The sequence below is a fragment of the Homo sapiens genome, chromosome 19 (assembly GCF_000001405.40).
Source record: "Homo sapiens chromosome 19, GRCh38.p14 Primary Assembly".
In the NCBI taxonomy this organism is placed as follows: Eukaryota; Metazoa; Chordata; class Mammalia; order Primates; family Hominidae; genus Homo; species Homo sapiens.
The window spans coordinates 50,384,263-50,402,849 of record NC_000019.10 but is presented as its reverse complement, the minus strand read 5'-3'; the positions used below and the strand labels follow the sequence as shown (position 1 = coordinate 50,402,849).

The window sequence follows — 18,587 nt, the reverse complement described above, 5'->3', positions numbered from 1 at the left end:
CCTGCCCCGGCACCTTCATGCTTGCCATTCCCTCCACCGGACCTGCCTTTCCGACCCCCGACTTGGCACATCAATGAGGCGGGCAGGAGCCCGGGCCCGGGGACAGACCTTTGCGGCCGGCGCACTCGATATCGAAGCTGAGCACGCGCAAGGGCGCAATGCGCTGCCATGGCCCTTCCGGTGGGTGACTGACCACGTCAGACCACAGCACGTCCGCCTCCAGCTGGCACTGCGTAGCCTGTGGGCATGGGTGGGTCAGCGGTGGCAGCAGGGTACCAGCTCCCCACCCAGCCCTGCCCTGGGAAGCCCTGCACCTTCTCCTTCAGCCTCAGGGCGTATTTCCCAGCTGGGAGCTCCAGCCAGTTGCAGCCGACGATGTCCGTGTCCACCATGAACCTGGAGGGGGCTGGGGGTCAGTGGACAGGGGCTGCCCGAGGGTGGGGATAGAGGCCGGAGAAGTGAGGCAGAGGCCGTACCGGATCTCAAAGTCGACGTTGGCCTCGTAGGGCGCGAAGCTGGGCGTGCCCAGGCCTGCCACACGGATGCCCTGTTCCAGGAGACGGCGGGCCGGGGCCACGAGGCGCGGCAGCGCCACGGTGATGCGCAGGAACGGGGAGGGGCCGTGCCCGTGGTACCCAAACATGCCTGTGGATGGAAGAAGCTGGGACCAGCCAATGGCCTCCCGAGGGGACCCTCCAACCCGCTGATCCTGGGGGAGCACTCACTCTCTCGGGAGCACAGTTCCACAGCCAGCACGGCCGGCCCAGTCAGCTCCCTCCCCCCGCGACTGTCCCGGCTGATGGCCAAGTTCAGCTCCCGTTGCAGGTCACCCATGTGCTCGGGCCCGAAACCTGGTGTGGGAGGGATGATCAGAGGTGCAGGGGGCTCCAGTGGCTCAGGGAGGGGCTGGGTAGGGGCCACTCACCAGGGGGCGCTGGGGTGTAGAAGTAGGGAGCGAAGCCGTGGATGTGGCAGCAGACAGAGAACCCCTCATCGGTGACCCCGAAGGCGCGGAGCACAGGCACGGAGCCGCGGGATGGTGGGGGCCCCCCAGGCACAGGCTGCGCTGGGCCTGTGGGGTCACAGGGTAAGACAGCGGCCATGCCTCTCAGGGTCCTCCAAGGTGTGTCTCCACAGCCTCGAAATACCTTGGGGCCTGCAGCCTGGGGCACTCCTGCCCCTGTACCGTTCCCTGTGTCCATTTCAGCCTCCCCCCTGGTTCCCATCTCCAGCCTCATCCCCCAGGATCCATTCTCCACAGCACAACTACAGGGAGGCCCTTCTTTTTTATTACAAGATAAAAACAACTGGCCGTGCACAGTGACTCACACCTGTGATTCCAGTGCTTTGTGAGGCCAAGGCGGGAGGATCGCTAGAGCCCAGGACTTTGAGACCAGCCTGGGCAAAAGAGCGAGACCCAGTCTCAAAAAAAAGAAAAAAAAAAAAAAAAAAAAAAAATATATATATATATATATATATATACACATATACACAAATACACACACATATTATATGTACAAATAAATATATTTGTCTCTACAAAATATATTAATATATAATATATGTTATACATAAATTAATACATAAAGAATATATCATATATATATATCTTATATTTATATTTCAACCACCTCCCAGGTTGAAAGGATTCTTGTGCCTCAGCCACCTGAACAGCTGAGATTACAGGCCCATGCCACCACACCTGGCTAATTTTTTGAATTTTTAGTAGAGACGGGGTTTCACCATGTTGGCCAGGCTGGTCTTGAACTCCTGTCCTCAAGTGATCAGCCTGCCTCAGCCTCCAAAAGTGAGCCACCATGCCGGGCCCAAAAGTATATTTTTAAAAGTTAGCCAGGCCGGGCGCGGTGGCTCAAGCCTGTAATCTCAGCACTTTGGGAGGCTGAGGCGGGCGGATCACGAGGTCAGGAGATCAAGACCATCCTGGCTAAAACGGTGAAACCCCATCTCTACTAAAAATACAAAAAATTAGCCAGGAGTTGGGGCGGGTGCCTGTAGTCCCAGCAACTCGGGAGGCTGAGGCAGGAGAATGGCGTGAACCTGGGAGGCAGAGCTTGCAGTGAGCCGAGATCGCGCCACTGCACTCCAGCCTAGGTGACAGAGCAAGACTCCGTCTCAAAAAAAAAAAAAAAGTTAGCCAGACATTGTGGTGCACACCTGTAGTCCTAGCTACTCCGAGGCTGAGGTGGGAGGATCACTTGAGCCCTGGAGGTTGAGGTTACAGTGAACCATGATTGTGCCACTGCTCTCCAGCCTGGGTGACAGAGGGAGACTCTGTCTCAAAAAAAAAAAAAAAAAAAAAAAAAAAATAGGCGGGGCACAGTTACTCACTCCTGTAATCCCAGCACTTTGGGAGGCCAAGGTCGGCAGATCACCTGAGGTTAGGAGTTTGAAACCAGCCTGGCCAACATGGCGAAACCCTGTCTCTACTAAAAATATAAAAATTAGCCGGGCGTGATGGCGGGCGCCTGTAATCCCAGCTACTTGGGAGGCTGAGGAAGAAGGATCACTTGAACCCAGGAGGCGGAGGTTATAGTGAGCCAAGAGTGTGCCACTGCACTCCAGCCTGGGCGACAGGAGCAAGACTCCATCTTAAAAAAAAAAAAAAAAAAAAAAAAAATTATTGGCCAGGTGCACTCCAGCCTGGGCAACAGAGGAAAATCTTGTCTCAAAAAAAAAAAAAAAAAAAAAAAAAAAATCTTTTAAAAAGTCAAATTGGGCTGGCACAATGGCTCACACCTGTAATCTAAGCACTTTGGGAGGCCAAGGCGGGTGGATCACTTGAGGTCAGGAGTTCAAGACCAGCCTAGCCAACTTGGCAAAAGCCCATCTCTACTAAAAATACAAAAATTAGCCAGGCATGGTGGTGTGCACCTGTAATCCCAGCTACTTGGGAGGCTGAGGCAGGAGAATCACTTGAACCCGGGAGGCAGAGGTTGCAGTGAGCCGAGATCACACCACTGCACTCCAGCCTGGGCAACAGGGCAAGACTCCATCTCAAAAAAAAGAAGTCAAATTGACTTTTGGTTTATGTGTCTGGTGTTATGAATTTTAAGGCACAGAGGTCCTTGCACAGGCTGCAGCTACTACGTATGCAAAACAGATCAACGCTCCAAGCACCTCCCTCAAGCTGACCCTGTGTCACCTTCGCTTCGCACTCCACAACCCCTGGCACCCACTGGTCTGTTCTGTCACTACAGCTCTATGGCAACCAGAGGGGCAGAGCCAGAGGGGCTGACCTGGCCCGGCCTCTGCCCCAGGAGCACAGGGCCAGAGGGGCTGACCTGGCCCGGCCTCTGCCCCAGGAGCGCAGGGCCCCAGCACTCACCCATAACCCCTAAACTCACCCACATAATGGTCAATCTCCAACTGTTGGAAGATGAGGGGCTCTGTCTGGGGGTCCAGCGCTGGTGGTGTGGGCCGAAGCCAGCGAGGATCTATGGCTGATGGTGGGACCTGCCCTGGTGGGGGAAGGGAAGGAAGTGGAGTACATGGAGTCATGGTCTTCCCCGGCCAGGATGGCATGTGGTTCTGAAAGGAGCCAGGCAGAGGTGGTGGTCTGGGTCAGGCAGGAAACTTGGAAGAGAATGAGGGTCAAGGGTCAGGGCCAGAATCACTGTAGGCCACACAGGCTGCACGGGGTGGAAGGGCAGTCCTTTGTAGGATTCAAAATTGGCCAGAGTGGGGTCACAGGTCAGCTTTGCAGCTGACTCTTGGACCAAAGGCAAGACCAGGGGCAATGGGTTGGGCAGCAGGAACCTCCAACTCCAAGCCTTACCGTCTGCAACCCCCTCCAGGACTGACTGCAGCTCCTCCTCCTCCTGCTCCTGCAGCCTGTGTTCTGCCTCCATCTCCTCCATCAGTGCCAGGTCCTCCTCGAATTGGGATGGCCGAGGTGCATCATCATCATCCCAGAGGCCCCCACGGGCCCGCTTTGGGGGCACCCCGGGCCCTGGGCCTGGCCGCCGCTTGCCATCCATCCTGCTGGGCAAGTTGGAGCTTGGTGGAGGTTCTGACCGGAGACACCTCTTACCCTGTCTCCATGGCATCCCATGCACCCACCATGACCACGAGCCTTTTCCTACTCTGGACTGGCTGTACTAACATAGCTCTCTGCACCCTGCAGGCAGTGGGGTGGGAGCACATTCCAGACGCTCAATTGTTAGCTACTGCAGCAGCAGCCCCGTCGACTCCCCGACCCTCTCTCCCATCACACTAGGTCCTTAGCACATCTCTTGCTTTTTTTTTTTTTTTTTTTTTTGAGATGGAATTGTGCTCTTGTCACCCAGGCTGGAGTGCAATGGCATGATCTCGGCTCACTGCAAGCTCTACCTCCCAGGTTCAAGCGATTCTCCCCTCAGCCTCCCGAGTAGCTGGGATTACAGGCGCCCACCACCACACCCAGCTAATTTTTGTGTTTTGAGTAGAGACGGGGTTTTGCCATGTTGGCCAGGCTGGTCTCGAACTCCTGACCTCAGGTGATCCACTCGCCTCAGCCTCCCAAAGTGCTGAGATTACAGGCCTGAGTCTCCGCGCCCGGCCTTGGCACATCTCTTTATTTTCCATAAACCTCTGTCTCCGATACCTCGCCTACCAACCACCCATCTGCCCAGGCCATCTGCCATTGAAATGACAAAAACTGCAATTACTTTTGCACCAACCTAAATACTTTGAAATAATCTCAAATGCCTAGAACTCCTGTATGCCCTTCCCCAGGCTCCCCGGTGGTCAGCGTGTCGTGTGTGTGCTCTCTCACCGCCTCTCTCTGCCCTCCCACATGTGCGGTATGCACATCATATTGTTACTTCTTTTCCTGAGTAATTTGAGAGTTCCTTGCAGATCCCATACCCCTCCACATGTTAGCACGTAGTGCCTAACAATAAGGAATTCCTTTCACCGAGCACAGTACGATACAATCTAGGACATTTAACACTGACTCAAGGTTGATATAAAATAAAGGGCACCTTTCCCAATTTCTCCAACTGTCTCCAAAATGCCGTTTATAGTAACCTGCTTTCTCCCCGAGTCCAGGACCCACAGTAGCAAACAAAACACAACACAAAACACATACAGACTGCTACTTATATATATTTGTGTTTTCTTTTTCTTTCTTTTAAAGACATAATCAGGGCCGGGTGTGATGGCTCACGCCTGTAATCCCAGCACTTTGGGAGGCCAAGGTGGGCGGATCACGAGGTCAGGAGTTCGAGACCAGCCTGACCAACATGGTGAAACCCCATCTCCACTAAAAATACAAAAATTAGCCAGGTGAGGTAGCAGGCGCCTGTAATCCCAGCTACTCAGGAGGCTGAGACAGGAGAATTGCTTGAACCTGGGAGGCGGAGGTTGCAGTGAGCCGAGATCGTGCCATTGTACTCCATCCTGGGCCACAGAGCAAGACTCCGTCTCAGAAAAAAAAAAAAAAAAAGACAGAATCTCACTCTTGTTGCCCAGGCTGGAGTACAGTGGCACAATCTCGATTCACTGCAACTTCCGCTTCCCGGGACCCAGTTCAAGCAATTCTTCTGCCTCAGCCTCCCAAGTAGCTGGGATTACAAGCACGCGCCACCATGCCCAGCTAATTTTTGTATTTTTAGTAGAGACGGGGTTTCACCATGTTGGCCAGGCTGGTCTTGAACTCCTGACCTCAAGTGATCCACCTGCCTTGGCCTCCCAAAGTGCTGAGATTTCAGGCGTGAGCCACCAAGCCTGGCCTGTGTTTTCTTTTTTTTTTTTTTTTTGAGATGGAGTCTCGCTCTGTCACCCAGGCTGGAGTGCAGTGGTGCGATCTTGGCTGCAACCTCCGCCTCCCAGATTCAAGAGATTCTCCTGCCTCAGCCTCCTGAGTAGCTGGGATCACAGGTGCCCACCACCATGCCTGGCTAATTTTTGTATTTTAGTAGAGACAGGGTTTCGCCATGTTGGCCATCCTGGTCTTGAACTCCTGACCTCAGGTGATCCACCTGCCTCGGCCTCCCAAAGTGCTGGGATTACAGGCGTAAGCCACCAAGCCTGGCCTGTGTTTTCTTAATTACAACCTATAAAAGATTATTTTGGAGGCTGGGAGCAGTGGCTCACACCTGTAATCCCAGCACTTTAGGAGGCAGGTGAATCATGAGGTCAGGAGATCGAGACCATCCTGGCTAACATGGTGAAACCCCGTCTCTACTAAAAAAATACAAAAAAATTAGCCGGGCATGGTGGTGGGCGCCTGTAGTCCCAGCTACTCATGAGGCTGAGGCAGGAGAATGGTGTGAACCCAGGAGGCAGAGCATGCAGTGAGCTGAGATTGCACCACTGCACTCCAGCCTGGGCAACAGAGCGAGACTCCATCTCAAAAAATATATATATATATTATTATTTTGGGGGTGTATTTTGACAAGATATACAATATCCTTGACAAGATATACAATGTACAAGATATACAATATAAAAGTTGACTAGAGTTAGGCACGGTGGCCCACGCTGTAATCCCAGCACTTTGGGAAGCTGAGGCGGGTGGATCACTTGAGGTCAGGAGTTCGAGACCAGCCTGGTCAACATGGTGAAACCCTATCTTTAATAAAAATACAAAAAAATTAGCTGGGTGTGGCGGTACACACCTGTAATTATGGCTACTCGGGAGGCCGAGGCAGGAGAATCACTTGAACCCGAGAGGTGGAGGTTGCAGTGAGCCGAGATCGCGCCACTGCACTTTAGCCTGGGCAACACAGCAATATTCTGTCTCAAAAAAAAAAACAAAAAAAAACCACCACCAACAACAACAATTAAAACCCAAACAAACAAACAAAAAAACAACCACAACAAAAAAGTTCACTGGGCATAGTGGCTTATGCCTGTAATCTCAGCACTTTGGGAGGCCAAGGTGGGAGGATCGCTTGAGCCCAGGAGTTTAAGACTGGACTGGACAAGATGGCAATACCCTGTCTCAAAAAAAAAAAAAAAAAAAAAAAAAGTATATATCCTCTGGTTGATTAGACAAGGTTATATGCAGGTTAAACTTAAGTGGGTGACTTTATTGTGGTTCAATAAGAATATTCTAAGGAGATACACACTCAAGTATTTAGGAGTAAACGGCCATAATGTCTGCAAGGTATTGGGAATTCTTTGTAAAAAGTGAGTGTACGTATACAGAGAGAAGGGAGATAAGAAACATCCATGCAAATCATAAATAGGACAGAATGTTGAAACAGGTGATCTGGGCAAAGGGCGTGCAGGTGTTCTTTACACTATTTTTTTTTTTTTTTGGAGACGGAGTCTCGCTCTGTCTCCCAGGCTGGAGTGCGGTGGCGCGATCTCGGCTCACTGCAAGCTCCGCCTCCCGGGTTCACGCCATTCTCCCGCCTCAGCCTCCTGAGTAGCTGGGACTACAGGCGTCCGCCACTGCGCCCGCCTAATTTTTTTGTATTTTTAGTAGAGACGGGGTTTCACTGTGGTCTCAATCTCCTGACCTCGTGATCCGCCCGCCTCGGCCTCCCGAAGTGCTGGGATTATAGGTGTGAGCCACCGCGCCCGGCCTACACTATTTATTCTTTCAACCTTCCTGTTAATTTGAAATTGTCAGAGAAAGAAGTTTTTAAAAAGTACCTGTACCCAGCCACCGCGCCCGGCCTACACTATTTATTCTTTCAACCTTCCTGTTAATTTGAAATTGTCAGAGAAAGAAGTTTTTAAAAAGTACCTGTACCCAGCTGGGCACCGTGGCTCGCACCTATAATCCCAGCACTTTGAGAGGCCGAGGCGGGTGGATCACTTGAGGTCAGTTGTTTGAGACCAGCCTTATCAACATGGTGAAACCCTGTCTCTACTAAAAAAAAAAAAAAAAAAAATTAGCTGGGCATGGTGGCGCACACCTGGAACCCCAGCTACTTGGGAGGCTGAGGCAGGAGAATCCCTTGAACCTGGGAGGTAGAGGTTGCAGTGAGCCAAGACTGCGCCATTGCACTCCAGCCTGGGCAACAAGGGTGAAATTCTGTCTCAAAAAACAAACAAACAAAAACAAAGTACTTGTCCCCCAGGGTCCAGGCTGAGACAGAGGGGATTACTGGAACCTAGGGCAGATCCTAGATGCGGCTGGGAAGAGGCAGGTGAGCAGGTCAGCTGTCTATCCCTGGATCTCATAACGGTTGCCCCATATCCAGTCCTCATTTTGCCTTTTTATTTTACTTATTTTTTTTTTAGACGGAGTCTCACTCGGTCACACAGGCTGGAATGCAGTGGCTGATCTCGGCTCACTGCAACCTTCGCCTCCTGGCTTCAAGCGATTCTCCTGCCTCAGCCTCCCGAGTAGCTGGGATTACAGGCGTCCACCATCATACCCGCTAATTTTTTTTTGTATTTTTAGTAGAGATGGGGTTTCACCATGTTGGCCAGGCTGGTGTGGAACTCCTGACCTCAGATGATCCGCCCGCCTCGGCCTCCCAAAGTGCTGGGATTATGGGTGTGAGCCACCGCGCCCGGCTTTGCTTTGCTTTTTTGCAATAGAACACACCCCTCCAACCCTGCGTGTCCGGAGTGGCCACAGGCTGCCCAGCCAAAGGCTACATTTCCCAGTGTGCGCTGCCAGGAGGGCCACGTGACTAAGTTCTCCCTCCAGGAATGAGAGTGATCATGAGGTGTGCAGCTACTGGGACATCCTCCCACCCTCTTCCCCGTCACAGTGGCTGGAACATGGATGTAGTGGGAGAGCCAACCACAAGGACAGGGACAACACTGGGCTCCCCAACAACCTTCCAGAGCAAAGCTGTCTGCCAACCCTGCACACTTGCCTATCTTCCAAAGCGTTATGTGGAGAAATCAATTTGTATCTTTCTTGGGCCACTGTGTTTTGGGGGCTCCTTGGTACAACAGCTTAGACCTGAAATAAGCATGGAAAAATTCTGAACTGATGGAGTATATGTTAGAAATGTTCAGGGAGGTTCATAACAGACACTCAGCATTAGAGAGGGGCCAGCTCCTGACAGACATGCAACACGGATGAATCTTGAAAGCAGGCTGTGCAGAAGGCAAAGTGCACACTGGGGGAATGAGGAGTGACTGCTTACGGAGTATGGGGTTTTCTGTAGGGGTGATGAAATGTTTTGAAACTAGACAGAGGTAATGGTTGTACAACACTGTGAACGTACCAACTGAATTCTTTGCTTTATTATTACTTTCTCTCTTTATTGAGACAGGATCTCACTCTGTTGCCCAGGCTAGAGTGCAGTGGCATGATCTCAGCTCACTGCAGCCTTGACCTCCCGGGCTCAGGTGATCCTCCCACCTTGGCCTCCTGAGTAGTTATGAAGACAGATGCGTGCCACCATGCCTAGCCAATTGTTTTTTGGTAAAGACGGGTTTTGCCATGTTGCTGAGGCTGGTCTGAAACCCCTGGGCTCAAGTGATCTGCCTGCCTTGGCCTCCCCAAAGTGCTGGGATTACAGGTATGAACCACCACGCCCAGCCATTGTTTGCTTTAAAATGGCTAATTTTACCTCCATAAAAATTGTACAATACCATTTAGACAAAGTTGTAGAATACACTAAAGTGATCTACAGCGCTAGAAATCAGACTAGTGGCTGCTCCTAGGGTAGGAGAGACTGGGAAGGGTATGAGGGGGTTTCTGGGGTGATAAAACACACTATACAGCTGACTGTACACTGGAGACCTGGGCATGGCACGCCATGTAAATGCCACCTCAATTATAAACATAAAAGTTTGGAGGCTCAATTCCACATCTAGGGACGTACACTGTAGATATATTATCACATAAGAAAAACTGCATTTATAAGGTTATTTCCGGAAGCATCGTTTGAAATCCCCAAGGACTGGAAACCACCTAACTGTCCTCCCCCAGGGGGCTATTTAAATATGTTAAGTCCGTTCAATGGAATACTATGCAACTGTGTAAAGGAATGAGGAAGCTCTTTGTGTACTGATAGGGAAGGTTCTCAAAGAGGCATTGTTCAGTAGATAAAGCAAGATGCACAGTGGTGCACTCACAATTTTATCTTTTGTGTTGAAAAACAATGTCTAAGAAAACGTTTACCCTGATTCTAGTCATTAAGAAACAAACAGCCTGGGTGCAGTGGCTCACGCCTGTAATCCCAGCATTTTGGGAGGCCAAGGAGGGTGGATCACTTGAGGTCAAGAGTTCCAGACCAGCCTGACCAACATGGTGAAACCCCATCTCTACTAAAATACAAAAATTAGCCAGGCGTGGTGGTGGGTGCCTGTAATACCAGCTACTTGGGAGGCTGAGGCAGGAGAATCACTTGAACCTGGGAGGCAGAGGTTGCAGTGAGCTGCGATCACGCCACTGCACTCCAGCCTGGGTGACAGAGCAAGACTCTGTCTCAAAACAAAACAAGAAAAAGAAACAAACGAATCCAAGGTGAGGGGTGACAACACTGGTCTGTAATCTTTAAAACTGTCGATGTCATGAAAAAGTAAGTTGCCTGGGCTAGGAGGCTCACGTCTGTAATCCCAACACTTTGGGAGGCTGAGGTGGGATGATCACTTGAGGCCAGGAGTTAGAAACTAGCCTAGGCAACATGGTGAGACTCCATTTCTACAAAAAATTAAAAATTAGTCAATCTCTACAAAAAATTAAAAATTACTTAAGCATGGTGGTGCATACCTACAGTCCCAGCTACTTGGGAGACTGAGGTGGGAGGATCACTTGAACCTGGGAGGTGAAGGCTGCAGTGAGCCATGACTGCACCACTGCAATACAGTCTGGGCAAGAGAGCAAGACATGTCTTAAAAAATGAAAAAGTTGCCATGACAATGTGTGTTATCCTAGGTTAGAACTTGGATTAAAAAAGTAAAATGATGGGCCAGGTGCAGTGGCTCACGCCTGTAATCCTAGCACTTTGGGAGGCTGAGGCAGGCCGATCACCTGAGGTCAGGAGATTAAGACCAGCCTGGCCAACGTGGTGAAAACCCCGTCTATACTAAAAAAAATACAAAAATTAGCTTGTCATGGTGGCGGGCGCCTATAATCCCAGCTACTTGGGAGGCTGAGGCAGGAGAATCGCTTGAACCTGGGAGGCGGAGGTTGCAGTGAGCCAAGATTGCGCCATTGCACTCCAGCCCGGGCAACAAGAGCGGGGGAGTGGGAAAAAAAAAGACCTCTCCCTCTCCCTCCCCCTCCCCCTCCCCCCTCTCAGTCTCCCTCTGATGCCGAGCTGAGGCTGGACTGTGCTGCCGCCATCTCGGCTCACGGCAACCTCCCTGCCTGATTCTCCTGCCTCAGCCTGCTGAGTGCCTGGGATTGCAGGCACGCACCGCCATGCCTGACTGGTTTTTGTATTTTTTGGTGGAGACGGGGTTTCGCCGTGTTGGCCGGGCTGGTCTCCAGCTCCTGACCGCGAGTGATCTGCCCGCCTGGGCCTCCCGAGGTGCCGGGATTGCAGACGGAGTCTCGCTCACTCAGTGCTCAATGGTGCCCAGGCTGGAGTGCAGTGGCGTGATCTCGGCTCGCTACAACCTCCACCTCCCAGCCGCCTGCCTTGGCCTCCCAAAGTGCCGAGATTGCAGCCTCTGCCCGGCCGCCACCCCGTCTGGGAAGTGAGGAGCATCTCTGCCTGGCCGCCCAGTCTGGGAAGTGAGGAGCGCCTCTTCCCAGCCGCCATCCCGTCTAGGAAGTGAGGAGCGTCTCTGCCCGGCTGCTCATCGTCTGAGATGTGGGGAGCGCCTCTGCCCCGACGCCCCGTCTGGGATGTGAGGAGCGCCTCTGCCTGGCCGCCACCCCGTCTGGGAGGTGTACCCAGCAGCTCATTGAGAACGGGCCATGATGACGATGGCGGTTTTGTCGAATAGAAAAGGGGGAAATGGGAAAGGAAAGAGAGATCAGATTGTTGCTGTGTCTGTGTAGAAAGAAGTAGACATAGGAGACTCCATTTTGTTCTGTACTAAGAAAAATTCTGCCTTGGGATGCTGTTAATCTACGGCCTTACCCCCAACCCCGTGCTCTCTGAAACATGTGCTGTGTCCACTCAGGGTTAAATGGATTAAGGGCGGTGCAAGATGTGCTTTGTTAAACAGATGCTTGAAGGCAGCATGCTCCTTAAGAGTCATCACCACTCCCTAATCTCAAGTACCCAGGGACACAAACACTGCGGAAGGCCGCAGGGCCCTCTGCCTAGGAAAACCAGAGACTTTTGTTCACTTGTTTATCTGCTGACCTTCCCTCCACTATTGTCCTATGACCCTGCCAAATCCCCCTCTCCAAGAAACACCCAAGAATGATCAATAAATACTAAAAAAAAAAAAAAAATAGTTCTCAAGAATAACTGTAGAATGTGCTAGGAATGCAATATCCTGAGATAAGGAGGGACTGGCTGAAACAGCCCAGGCTCTGTTCCAGTCCCTCCTAGAAACAGGATGTCCTTCATCATTTTAGCCCAACATGTCATGTTGCCTCCAGAATATAAAACCCAAGATGGTCTGCTTTCCAGGTACAAATGGGGTACACACAAATGAGACTCCATCCTCCCGGGGCAACCTTCCTGAGTCTCGGGAGATTGGCTCACAATGAATCCTATGCTTCGGTTTTCCCTTGTTGCCTAGCTGTAAATAATAAATTTACTTCATGTAACTTGAAAAAAAAAAAAGAAAAGAAAAGAAAAAAAGAAATTATTGGCCAGGCGCAGTGGCTCACACCTGTAATCCCAACACTATGAGAGGCTGAGGTGGGTGGATTACCTGAGGTCAAGAGTTTGAGACCAGCCTGGCCAACATGGTGAAACCCTGTCTCTACTAAAAATATAAAAATTAGCTGGGCGTGGTGCCAGGCGCCTGTAATCCTAGCTACTCGGGAGGCTGAGGCAGGAGAATTGATTGAACCTGGGAGGTGGAGGTTGCAGTGAGCCAAGATCGCACCACTGCACTCCAGCCTGGGTGACAATGAGGCTCTGTTTCAAAAAAGAAAAAAAAAACAAAACAAAAAACAAAAAAAAAAACAGGCTGGACATGGTGGCTCACGCCTGTAATCCTAGCACTTTGGGAGCCCAAGGCGGGCGGATCACCTGAGGTCAGGGGTTCGAGACCAGCCTGGCCAAAATGAAACCCCGTCTCTACAAAAAATACAAAAAAATTAGCCGGGCGTGGTGGTGCATGCCTGTAATTCCAGCTATTCGGGAGGCTGAGGCAAGAGAATGGCTTGAACCCAGGAGGCAGAGGTTGCAGTGAGCCGAGATAGTGCCACTGCACTCCAGCCTGGGCGATAGAGCAAGACTCAGTCTTGGAAAAAAAAAAAAAATAAGAAATTATTTATAGCCTTGAAGAATATTACAGGGACACGTGGCAGATCTAAATAAGAATCGTCTATTCAATAACGTCACTGTCTCATGTTAAACTGCATGATGATGACAATGACACTGTAGTTCTGCAGGCGGACATCCCTGTTCTTAAGAGCTGACTGCTGGAGGCCAGGTACGGTGGCTCACGGCTGTAATCCCAGGACATTTGGAGGCCGAGGCAGGGGGATTGCTTGAACCCAGGAGTTTGAGATCAGCCTAGGCAACATGGTGACACCCTGTCTCTATAAACAATATAAAAATTAGCAGGGTGTGGTGGCACACACCTTTAGTCCCAGCTACTCGAGAGGCTGAGGATCAGCTGAGCCTGGGGAGGTCGAGGCTGCAGTGAGCTGTGACCACCCCACTGCACTACAACCTGCATGACAGAGTAAAATACTGTACCAAAAAAAAAAAAAGAGGCCAGGTGCGGTGGCTCATGCCTGTAATCCCAGCACTCTGGGAGGCAGAGGCACGTAGATCATAAGGTCAGGAGTTCAAGAGCAGCCTGGCAAAGATGGTGAAACCCCATCTTTACTAAAAATACAAAAATTAGCCAGATGTGGTGGTGCGCGCCTATAGTCCCAGCTACTCAGGAAGCTGCAATAGGAGAATCGCTTGAACCTGGGAGGCAGAGGTTGCAGTGAGCCAAGGTCGCACCACTGTACTCCAGCCTGGGTGACAGAGCAAGACTCCGTCTCAAAAAAAAAAAAAAAAAAAAAAAAAGAGTTAACTGCTGGAGTTTTCAGAGGTGAAGTATCATGATGACCACAACTTTCAAATAGTTCAGCCAAAAAAAGGACAAAAGGTACAGGTATATGCATGTGCTTGGATAAAGCATAAAGCAAATGAGGTGTCATGCCAACAGCCAGTGAATCTAGGCAAAGGGCCATGGCTGTTCACTGTACTCAATTTGTACCTTCTCTGCAGGTTTGAAACTTTTCAAAATATTAAGGGGGAAATATATAAAATGAAAATAGTAACAAATTTACAAGGTGGGCAGAAGAGTATGTAGAAATCTTTTTGCTTTTAATGCAGGGAGTATGTAGACGTCTTTTTTATTGTAATGCAGGGAGTATGTAGACGTCTTTTTTATTGTAATGCAGGGCATATGTATAAATCTATTTGCTTTTAATGCATCATTCTATAAGGAGAGCTAAGAAACTGGTTTCCTGGGGGACAGGGTAGAAGACTTCATTTGCTAACTGCTTTATTGAGCTATAATTCACATACTATACAATTCACCCATTTAAAGTATATATAGTTCAATGGTATTTAGTATGTTCAGAGTTAGGCAACCATCACCACAGTCAATTTTAGAACTCTCTCATCACCCCAAAAAGCCTAAATCCTTTAGCTCTCTCCCTGCATTCAGCCCATCTGCCCCCACCCCTGGCAGCCACTCATCTAACTTTCTGTCTCCATGGATCTGCCTATTCTGGGCATTTCCTATAAATGGGATCTTGGAATATGCAGCCTCTTGTGTCTGGCTGCTTTCTCTGAATGTGTTCATCGCTCATGTGTGTGGCGGCCTTTCGTCAGTGCTGTGTCCCTTTTTTGCTGAGTACTTTTCCGCTGTATGGCTAGAACACGTCTGACGTATCCCTTCATCAGTGGATGGACATTAGGGTTGCTTCCACCTTTTGTGAGTGGTGCAGCCGTGAGCGTGTGCAGGGGGTTTTGTGTGAGGAAGACTTTGACTGCGTTTGTGCTCTTTGGGTGACAACCGCGTACATGTGTGACTTACAGGAAGAAGCAAGCGTCGTTAGCGGCTCTGGCTTCGGGTTGTGCAAGTAGCCAGAGAGGGACAGGGAGTGATGATCTGCGAGGAGAGACCCGGGTGGGACAGAGGAAGCGCAGGGGCTTGTGGGAGCCCAGAGTCAGTGCTGAAGCTGGAGGAGGAAGGAAGGAGCTGACTGGCTGCCCTTGGTCAGTTGGCTGTGGCTGCGGGGGTGCGGTGGGAGGGACGGTGTCACCAGGGGCAAAACCTGGGCTCTTGTTAGTGGAGGCACAGCAGCATTAGGAAGGAAAGGCCCCTGTGTGTCCCCTCTCATTGGCCCTGGCACAGGATGAGAGCTTGGCAAACACTGTCCTCTGCCCCTCTCACGACCCTTCGGTAGCAAGCACTTAACAGAGATTCAGCAACAAAATGACACCACGTGCTCGCTGCAGGCCAGACACCAGTTTTCTCGATGAGTGAGACACTCATTTCCTCAATGACCTCATCCAATCTTGCCCAATCTCACAGCTTTATTTTTATTTATATATTTTTTTGGGAAAGGATCTTGCTCACTGCAACCTCCGCCTCCTGGACTCAAGTGATTCTCCTGCCTCAGCCTCGCAGGTAGCTGGGATTACAGGCGCCCACCATGTCCAGCTAGTTGTGTATTTTTAGTAGAGTTTCACCATGTCTGCCAGACTGGTCTCAAACTCCTCACCTCAAGTGATCCGTCCACCTCGGCCTCCCAAAGTGCTGGGATTACAGGCGCCCACCACCACGCCCGGCTAATTTTTTGTATTTTTAGTAGAGACGGGGTTTCACCGTGTTAGCCAGGATGGTCTTGGTCTCCTGACCTCATGATCTGCCCGCCTCGGCCTCCCAAAGTGCTGGGATTACAGGCCTTAGCCACCGCGCCCGGCCTAGCTTTTGTATTTTTTGTAGAGACAGGGTCTTGCTATGTTGCCCAGGCTCACCTGCATGCTTTCGGCCTTGTCCTTCCCCTAGGCCTCTGTGACTGCTGTCTCTGGACTGCCTGGGTGTGTGTCTTCCTCCCTTACCAGCCAGGGACCTCTGGATGGCAGAGCAAGGACTGACTCTCCTCTGGGACCTTAGCATCACCCAGCACAGGGTGGGCCCCCAGGAGGCCTTAGGCAGTGTTCGCTGCATGAAACTCCACTGCATCCAGAGACTCAGCTCAGGCTTAGCTCCTCCAAGCTGACCAGCTGCCCTTCAGGGTTCCCACAACGCCTTGTGCCACTTTCGTTATTGCACAATGCAGAGCTGGGATCCTTTCAGCCTGTGAGCTCCTTGAGAAAAGGAGTCAGCATCTTGCCCAAGTTGGGGTCTCCAGCATCACTCTGCACAGTGTCCGGTTACTTCAAGACATGAGTTTAGGCCGGGTGTGGTGGCTCACACCTGTAATCCCAGCACTTTGGGAGGCCGAGGTGGGAGGATTACTTGAGGTCAGGGATTCGAGACCAGTCTGGGCAACATGACAAAACCCTGTCTCTACTAAAAATACAAAAATTAGCTGGGCGTGGTGGCACACACCTGTAATCCCAGCTACTCGGAAGCCTGAGGCATGAGAATCGCTTGAACCCGGGAGGTGGAGGTTAGTGAGCCGAGATCGCGCCACTGCACTCCAGCCTGGGCGACAGAGCAAGACCCTGTCTCAAAAACCAAAAAAAAAAAGACATGTGAGTTGAAACTCCCTGTGAATATCAACCACTCTGGTGAGTCTTCCCTGAGCGCACAGGTTCTTCTCTTGGCTCCCAAAGACTATCACTGCTCCGCCATAGCTCAGCGCACTCTGGACTGAAATCTCCTGTCCTTCCCCAACCAAACTGAATGATCATTGGCTCCCCAGTGCTCAGCAGAGGGCCTGTCCAAACAGCAGCTGTCAGAAACACATAAGAGAGGGAAGAGCATTTCAGGGGGAGGGAAGGAACCTCTCTAGGGGGAAGAGAGACCTGTGGGGGGGAAGTGCAGGAAGGAGGAGAAGCGGCCGTGCGTGGTGGCTCACGCCTGTAATCCCAGCACTTTGGGAGGCCGAGGCAAGTGGATCACCTGAGGTCAGGAGTTCGAGACCAGCCTGGCCAACACGGCGAAACCCCATCTCTACTAAAAATACAAAAAATGAGCTGGGCATGGCAGTGGGTGCCGTAATCCCAGCTACTCAGGAGGCTGAGGCACGAGACTCGCCTGAACTCGGGAGGCGGAGGTTGCAATGAGCTGAGTTTGCACCACTGCATTCCAGCCTGGGTGACAGAGCAAGACTCTGTCTCAAAAAAAAAAAAAAAAAAAAGAGAAGACAGTGGCAACAAGTTCCTTCAGTGGAAGGGCTGAGGCGAGGCACTGACATCGCCCTGCCCACTCCTGGCTCCGCTCTAAACCCTGCCCACTCACTCCCCCACTAATCTTTGCCTTCAGAGCGGCAACCCCAACCTGCTTCTCCCTTAGCCTTCCCCATCCAGCCTGCTGCTCAAACCACAAACCCAGGAGTCATCCTGGACTCTTCCCCTTGCTCCTACGCCCAGTCCATCAGCCAGTCCCCCTGTCTCCGCCCGCAAAGGTAACCGGAGCCTGATTCTCTGCCTGCAGGACGCTCTCCCTCCTAACAGATCTCCCTCCTTCCATTCTTATTCCTGCTACAATCCAATTTCCACTCAGTGGTGAGTTTTTCAAAACATGGGGCGAATCGTGTTGTTTCCACGCTCAAACCCTCCCACGGCTCCCCGCTGAACCTAGAATAAAGGAGAAATTCCATACCAAGTTTTACAAGGCCCTATAGGATCTAGTTCCCCATCATGACTCCGACCTCATCTGTGTTTCTCTCGTCCCCTCGGCTCCTGCTACAAATACGCCAAGCTCCTTCCACCTCAGGGCTTTGCACTTGAGGGTCCCAGAGCGGTCGATTCTGGACCACTCCAGCTAAAGCAACAGGCTCTTCGCTCATTATCACGTTACCCTGCGTTAGTTTCCTTCTGAGAGCATCTCACAGCCCCAGAGCACTGCTTTACTGATCTATTAAAACTCATCACTTGTCTACCGTCTGTCTTCCCGAGACAGGGACTTCTCTGACTTGTTCCTGCTTCCAGAAAAGTGCCTGGCACAGAGTACTCAAACACCCAGCGAATCCAGGATGACACCAAGCCCGCACGTGCACCACCCAGTCCCCCCAGCTCCTCCCGGGCCACGTCCCGCCCCACGGTGCCCGGCGCATGCGCCCCCTGCCCGCCGAGGAATTCCACCCCCACCCCGGCCTTTTCCTGCTCGTCCCCGCGCCCTCGCCCAGGAAACCCCTGGCCCCTGCCCTCTCCTGCGCGCCCCCGGGCCAAAGGGTGCCCTCGCAACCGTCTCTCAGATCTATGTGCCTGGCTGCTCAAGCCCCGTTCCCTACCAGGCCCACTGCCCCGAACTCCCTTTTTCCCCTCTACTCACCCGCTTCAAACAGCGTTTCCCGCCACAGCCTACGCCGCCGTGACCCCTGACTCCCGCGCGCGCAAGCCCAGAGCCGCGGCGCTCAGAGACGGGCCACGCCCCCGCCTGCCCAAGTGCGGGCAAGGCCA

At 51.6% G+C, this 18,587-nt stretch overlaps 1 protein-coding gene across 14 annotated transcripts in view, besides 2 other annotated features; it reads right to left on the bottom strand.

Annotated features, from left to right (window-relative positions):
• POLD1 (DNA polymerase delta 1, catalytic subunit) overlaps window positions 1-18,527 on the bottom strand; it is a 33,696-nt gene extending 15,169 nt beyond the window's left edge. For 3 of the 14 annotated variants that reach the window (NR_046402.2, NM_002691.4, NM_001438211.1), the window contains exons 1-8: window positions 18,460-18,503; window positions 3,797-3,999; window positions 3,366-3,479; window positions 926-1,072; window positions 726-851; window positions 477-645; window positions 315-396; window positions 109-238 (exon numbers count right to left, since the gene is read on the bottom strand). Coding sequence is in view for 12 of the 14 variants with exons in the window: in NM_002691.4 (NP_002682.2) it covers window positions 109-238; window positions 315-396; window positions 477-645; window positions 726-851; window positions 926-1,072; window positions 3,366-3,479; window positions 3,797-3,998 (970 nt within the window). In the remaining 2 variants the exon portion in view is untranslated. Of the gene's footprint in view, window positions 1-108; window positions 239-314; window positions 397-476; window positions 646-725; window positions 852-925; window positions 1,073-3,365; window positions 3,480-3,796; window positions 4,003-7,699; window positions 7,827-15,045; window positions 15,191-15,992; window positions 16,916-18,459 lie in introns of those variants that run through there. The other 11 variants (XM_047438947.1, XM_047438949.1, XM_047438948.1 and 8 more) reach the window with 10 other exon arrangements.
• Window positions 17,269-17,770: an enhancer, noted in NCBI's record as "H3K4me1 hESC enhancer chr19:50888337-50888838 (GRCh37/hg19 assembly coordinates)". NCBI's record gives its function as "activates a minimal SCP1, AML or CMV promoter by ChIP-STARR-seq in primed H9 embryonic stem cells {active_cell/tissue: H9 hESC(primed)}" and the evidence as "EXISTENCE:reporter gene assay evidence [ECO:0000049][PMID:30033119]".
• Window positions 18,490-18,579: a silencer, noted in NCBI's record as "silent region_10961". NCBI's record gives its function as "represses an Ori minimal core promoter by ATAC-STARR-seq in GM12878 lymphoblastoid cells {active_cell/tissue: GM12878}" and the evidence as "EXISTENCE:reporter gene assay evidence [ECO:0000049][PMID:35858748]".